Source organism: Homo sapiens, chromosome 9 (genome assembly GCF_000001405.40).
Source record: "Homo sapiens chromosome 9, GRCh38.p14 Primary Assembly".
Lineage (NCBI taxonomy): Eukaryota > Metazoa > Chordata > Mammalia > Primates > Hominidae > Homo > Homo sapiens.
In genome coordinates, this window is record NC_000009.12 from 72,366,858 (window position 1) to 72,374,401 (window position 7,544).

Here is a 7,544-nt window from a genome sequence, read left to right on the forward strand (position 1 = left end):
GGTGATTATTATTGAGAACAAAAATAACTTGAATTTTAACTTGAATTTTTTTCTTTCTCTAGAATTGGAGTTATAGTGAGTGAAACAAGATAATTCCTGAAGAAGCATACTTTAAAAAAAGTCTAAGGGTAATGAGGCAAGCTCATTATTGAATAGTGTATTCCATAATATTATGTCACCTTCTGATAATTCATCTTCTCTATCACCCATTTATAATTTTCTCTGAGACTGTTTCAATCAAGAATGTTGCAGGTATTGGACCTAAACATACCAAGATTCCTTTTTAGCAGCTATTTTCTAGTGGTTCTCAAAATGTGGTCTCCAGACTACCTGGGAACTTATTAGAAATACAGATTCTCAGGCCCCAGCACCAAACCTGTGGAGTCACAAACTGGGGGTTAGCACAGCCGTCTGTGGCTTAATAAGTCCTCCAGGTGATTCTGATGCATACACAAGTTTGAAAACTATTGACTTAACCCTACCATGGCATCAGGTGACCCCTCTTTTTTTCAGATGGCTCACACCATGTGAAAGGGAAAAGTTTAAAAAAAAAAAGTCTCATATTACTGGTGTAACAGATTAAGGGATATACTTCTAAGAAGGTTTTTGTTTTATTTTTGTTTTCTTATATTTTAAATTTTCACTTGCACTCCAAAGACAAACTGAATTGCTAAACACAGAATATATAAGAGAATGCTTCTAATATAACATGCCAAAGGGCTTTGCTCTATAGTCATTAGGGAAGGTCAACTTTGGCCTGAAACCAACCTCTGTAAAAAAGATAATGAGTAGCCAGTCGTGGTGGCTCACACCTGTAATCCCAGCACTTTGGGAGGCCATGGGGGGTGGATCATGAGATCAAGAGACTGAAACCGTCCTGACCAACATGGTGAAACCCTGTCTCTACTAAAAAATATACAAAAATTAGCTGGGCATGTTGGTGCGTGCCTGTAGTCCCAGCTACTCGGGAGACTGAGGCAGGAGAATCACTTGAACCCAGGAGACAGAGGTTGCAGTGAGCAGAGATTATGCCACTGCACTCTAGCCTGGTGACAAAATGAGATTCCGTCTCAAAAACAAAACAAACAAACAAACAAAAAAACAGATAATGAGCAAAGTTGGTCGTGCTCAAAATGTGATATTGGTTAGGTGTGGTGGCTCACGCCTATAATCTCAGCACTTTGGGAGGTGGAGGCAGACGGATTACCTGAGGTCAGGAATTGGAGACCAGTCTGGTCAACATGGCCAAACCCTGTCTCTACTAAAAATACAAAAATTAGCTAGGCGAGTGGCAGGTGCCTGTAGTCCCAGCTACTCGGGAGACTGAGGCAGGAGAATCACTTGAGCTGGGGAGGTGGAGGTTGCAGTGAGCCGAGATTGTGCCACTGTGCTCCAGCCTGGGATAACAGAGCGAGACTCTGTCTCAAAAAAAAAAAAAAGTTTTGCACATTTGCTACTTTCCAGGCACTCACTTAACTTGGTGCTGGGATATACATTCATGTAAAAAAAAAAGATGTTACCCTGTTCTCATGGATCTTACTGTCATTTGGGGAGAAAGATATTATCATATAATATATAATTATGAACTGGTAAATATTTTGAAAGAAAAGCATAGAATGCTATGGGAGCATATAACCAATCATAACGGATCTTGAAAACTCACCCAGGTCTGAGTTCCAACCATCCCCATGGCCAAAGGAGCCAGGCTTATTTCCTTAAAGTAGGTAACCTGGTAGTCTGCTTAAGAACTCAGGTAAAGTCATTGCAGGTTCTCTTACACTTTTCTTTGTAAACTAGGCCTGGAAAGGGGATTGATGATGGGAGAAGAGCAAATGTAATTAAATTTCTTAGAGAAAACTGACATCCCTTAAAAATAGCAATATAAGTTATTAGTCCACTGTAAAATGTAAAAGACCTGAAGTTATTTTATCTTGACATATAAGTTCCTATTATGGAGACAAGAATTGCTGCTATGACATTATTATAATACTTGGTCATAAGTAACTATTCATTTTCTGTCTGTGCTTGAGTAGAACATGGTGAAGCACAAAGCCTTTTCTAGGGTCTTAAAAACTTCAGAGTGGCCGGGTGTGGTGGCTCATGCCTGTAATCCCAGCACTTTGGGAGGCTGAGGCGGGATGATCACCTGAGGTCAGGAGTTTGAGACCAGCCTGACCAACATGGTGAAACCCTGTCTCTACTAAAAATACAAAATGAGTTGGGTGTGGTGGCGGGTGCCTGTAATCCCAGCTACTCCAGAAGCTGAGGCAGGAGAATTGCTTGAACCCGGGAGGTGGAGGTGGCGGTCAGCGGAGATCACGCCATTGCTCTCCAGCCTGGGTAACAAGAGCGAAACTGCTTCTCAAAAACAAAAAACAAACAAACAAACAAACCCACACACAAAAAGCACAAAACTTTGATGTGTCACTGGACGTTCACATAGTGCCCTTCCTCCCTTTCGTTCCCAGCCCCTTCCCAGATTTCAAAGATCAAGGTAAAGGACTGTTTTATAGAAGTATTTTCAAAATAATTGGCTAAAAGGATTATAGTATTGTATTTAGAGCAAATCCACTAATTTAAAAATTAAGGCTGGGCGCGGTGGCTCACGCCTGTAATCCCAGCAGTTTGGGAGGCCGAGATGGGCGGATCAGGAGGTTAGGAGATCGAGACCATCCTGGCTAACGCGGTGAAACCCTGTCTGTACTAAAAATATAAAAAATTAGCCGGGCTTGTTGGCGGGTGCCTGTAGTCCCAGCTACTCCGGAGGCTGAGGCAGGAGAATCGCTTGAACCTGGGAGGTGGAGGTTGCAGTGAGCTGAGAATATGCCACTGCATTCCAGCCTAGGCAACAGGCAAGACTCTGTCTCAAAAAAAATTAAAAATAAATAAATAAGAAATTGATAAAGCAAGTTGCAATTTCATTATTATATAGACCTTTTGGTAAATTAAAATTCTTAATTATTTTCTCTGAAAATAACTTGATCAAAGAATCTTCAAATAAAAGACATAGATATCTTACCAGATTAGAGAAGACTTTCTGACACTATCTAGATACTATCAACGTAGCATTAAACAATTTTTGAGACTATTTGAAAAACTAAAAGCTTTTATTGTTTTTAATTTTCTTATTATTTTTTTTGAGATGGAGTTTCTCTCTCGTCGCCCAGGCTGGAACCTCCATCTCCCAGGTTCAAGCGATTCTCCTGCCTCCGCCTCCCTAGTAGCTGGGATTATAGGCTCCCGCCACCACCCCCAGCTAGTTTTTGTGTTTTTAGTAGAGAACAAAATCTGGCAGTCTTGTCTTGAACTCCTGACTTCAGGTGATCCGCCCACCTCTGCCTCCCAAAGTTCTGGGATTAAAGGCGTGAGCCATCGAGCTGGGCCTGCCTAATCGTTTATGTAAATCAAGAACTTAGGTTGAAGGAAACTGATGATTTACTATGTATATATATTTTGTTGTAAACACCATTTAAGAAACAAAATATTTTGGTCTCAACTCTTAAGAAATTTTTTTTATTGAACAAGCTAAGTGTGGGTTGTTAATCTCAGTAGTTAGCTCTGGGATTGTCTCAGAAACAATACTTTGGGGCTGGGTGAGGTGATTCAAGCCTGTAATCCCCGCACTTTGGGAGGCAGGAGGATCATCTGAGATCAGGAGTTCGAGACCAACCTGGCCAACATGGCGGATCACCTGAGGCAGGTGATAACCTGAGGTCAGGAGTTCAAGACCAGCCTGGCCAACATGGTGAAACCTCATCTGTACTAAAAATACAAAAATTAAGGCTGGGCATGGTGGCTCACACCTGTAATCATCGCATTTTGGGAGGCCGAGGTGGGTGGATCACCTGAGGTTAGGAGTTCAAGACCAGCCTGGCTAACATGGTGAAACCCCGTCTCTACTAAAAATACAAAAATTAGCCAAGCATGGTGGCGGGTGCCTGTAATCGCAGCTACTTGGGAGGCTGAGGCAGGAGAATCACCTGGGAGATGGAGGTTGCAGTGAGCCGAGATCGTGCCACTGCACTCCAGCCTGGGCGACAGAGTGAGACTCCCTCTCAGAAAAAAAAAAAAAAGAAAAGAAAAAAAATTAGCTGGGCGTGGTGGTGTGTGGCTGTAATCCCAGCTACTCCGGAGGCTGAGGCATGAGAATCGTTTGAACCCAGGAGACGGAGGTTGCAATGAGCTGAGATTGTGCCACTGCACTCCAGTCTGGGTGACAGAGCAAGACTCCCTCTCAAAAAAAAAGAGAAAAGAAAAGAAAAAGAAACAATACTTTGGAGCATATCATAACCTGGGTTCATGGGTGGTGGGGTTGGCCAGGAAGACAGGAATGGTGTCAGTGATTTAGTTAGAGCCCAGCAACTGTGCTGTTATAAAGCTTAGGCAGGAGGCAATTGTTCCTAAGGTCCTATTAGCCAGCAGAAAAAAAGCTAGAAACAATTAGGGAGGTCAGGATTCAGACAGAAGACTAGCATGAGAAAAGTGGGTAGGGTGGGCCTCTGTCCTGGAGCAATCTAAGTTCTAGGCAGAGAGCCAAGGCAAGTATCTTAAGTTTGTGTAATGTCTTTCCACCTACAATGTATATTCAAATGTATTAATTTGATAAATTCTCACAACAGCCTATTGAAATAACTCTTATCTCTCCTTTTGCTGGAGGAGTTGACTGACTGAGGCTCAGGGCAAAGTTATATATCCTGTCCATTGTCATATATCTAGTGAGAGTACAACCTTCTGTTCTTTGGCACAGTGTTTGTTGCCTCTTCAGGATCACTTCCCCCTTTAAATTTATTTCATAATTATATTTACCATTAGAATGTTAACCTTTTTTTTTTTCTGAGAGGGAGTCTCACTTTGTCACCCAAGCTGGAGTGCAGTGGCGCGATCTCGGCTCACTGCAACTTCTGCCTCCCAGGCTCAAGCAGTCCTCCCACATTATCCTCCGGAGTAGCTGGGACCACAGACACGTGCCCAGTTAATTATTTGTATTTTTGGTAGAGATGGGTTTCACCATGTTGCCCAGGCTGGTCTCAAACTCCTGAGCTCAAGCAATCTGCCTGCTTTGGCAGATGGATTACAGGTGTGAACCATGGCGCGAAGCCTAGAAAGTTAACCATTCTTTTTTTTTTTTTTTTCTGAGACAGAGTCTCACTCTGTTGCCCAGGCTGGAGTGTAGTGCCATCATCTTAGCTCACTGCAACCTCTCCCTCCTGGGTTCAAGAGATTCTCCTGCCTCAGCTTCCCAAGTAGCTAGGACTACAGGCACATGCCACCATGCCCTGCTAATTTTTTTGTATTTTTAGTTGAGATGGGATTTCACCATGTTAGCCAGGATGGTCTCGATCTCCTGACCTCATGATCTGCCCACCTTGGCCTCCCAAAGTCCTGGGATTACAGGCATGAGCCACCGCACCCGGCCATACCATTCTTATCTTGTGTATCGCTCACCTCACCCAGCAGTCTCTAACAGGCAACTTCTGTCTCTTTTGCTAGCTCCAGCTTATCTGTCCATCTCCTAAATGTTGGCATTTTTTAGGTCTAGGTCCCGGGCACTCTTTGTTTTTTCACTGCTCATACTCTCTCAGAGCGACTTTACCCACCTTCATAGATTCAAATGAAGTACTCAAAGGAATGAGTATCTGTACTCATCCCTTGGCTTATAAATGGTTTATTTATGAATTTTTCACTTACAAAGATATAGCTATTTGTATTTATTTATTTATTTATTTTGAGACAGAGTCTCACTCTGTCACTCAGGCTGGAGTGCAGTGGCATGATCTCGGCTCACTGCAACCAGCCTCCTCGTTCTGGACTCAAGAGATTCTCACGCCTCAGCCTCCCCAGTAGCTGGGATTATAGGCATGTACCACCATGCTTGGCTAACTTTTGTATTTTTAATAAAGACAGGTTTCACTGTGTTGGCCAGGCTAGTCTCAAACTCTCTGGCCTCAAGTTGTCCACGTGCCTGAGTCTCCCAAAGTGCTGGGATTACAGGCATGAGCCACCACACCCAGCTGACAAAGGTATATCTATTTTTAAAATTTTACTTACAAACATTTTTCAACTTAATCCAGAAAACTCTTCTTTTTTTTTTTGTTTGTCTTTGCATACTGAAGTTATGCTCTGTCATTGGAAGAGAAATGTATAGCTAACCACTACTATTGTTAGGTAGTGAATAAGTGGGAGTAGTGAATAAATATCTAGAAATAGATATGAATTTATATTTATTCCATGTGGATCAATGGCTCTAGAATGAACAAGATAAAGTTTGAACCTGGGAATTTCAGAGCCAGTACTTCAGATACTGGTATATGACTGATTTAAGTTGTTTTTGTATTATAACTTACAACATCATGACCAACTCTAAATGTGAAGCATATAAATATGTAAGGGAAAATTCTTTTTATTGAAAAATTAAAAGTGATAAACTGAAGCAGGACAAATAAATAAAAACATTAGCTTCACCAAAGAAGATATACAGATGACAAATAAGCATATAAAAAGATGCTTCACATAGGCCGGGCATGGTGGCTCACGCCTGTAATCCCAGCACTTTGGGAGGCTGAGGCAGGAAGATCACGAGGTCAGAAGATCGAGACCATCCTGGCTGACACAGTAAAACCCCGTCTCCACTAAAAAACACAAAAAAATTAGCCGGGCATGGTGGCGGGCGCCTGTAGTCCCAGCTACTTCGGAGGCTGAGGCAGGAGAATGGCATGAACCCAGGAGGTGGAGCTTGCAGTGAGCCGAGATCGCACCACTGCACTCCAGCCTGGGTGACAGAGCGAGACTCCATCTCAAAAAAAAAAAAAAAAAAAAAGATGCTTCACATTATATGTCATCAGGGAAATGCAAATTAAAGCAACAATGAGATACCACTATGTACCTATTAGAATGGCCAAAATCCAGAAAACAAACAACACCAAATGCTGGTGAGGATGCAAAGCAACAGAAACTCTTATTCGTTGTTGTTGGGACTACAAAATGGTAGTCACTTCGGAAGGCAGTTTGATGATTTTTTATGAAGTTAAACATACTCTTACCATATGATCCAGCAGTCACACTCCTTGGTATTTACTCAAAGGAGTTGAAGACATGTCCACAAAAAAACCTGCACACAGATATTCATAGCAGCTTTATTCGTAATTGCCAAAACTTGAAAGCAACCAAGATACCCTTCAGTAGGTGAATGGAGAAATAAACTGTGGTACATCCAGATAATAGAATATTATTCAGTGCTAAAATAAACGTGTTATTAAGCCATGAAAAGACATGGAAAACTTGAATGGATATTACTAAGTGAAAGAAGCCAGTCTGAGGTCCGGGCGCGGTGGCTCACGCCTGTAATCCCAGCACTTTGGGAGGCCGAGGTGGGCAGATCACGAGGTCAAGAGATTGAGACCGTCCTGGGCAACATGGTGAAACGTCATCTCTACTAAAAATACAAAAATTAGCTGGACGTGGTTGGCGCACGCCTGTAGTCCCAGCTACTCGGGAGGTTGAGGCAGTAGAATCGCTTGAACCGGGGAGGCAGAGGTTGCAGTGAG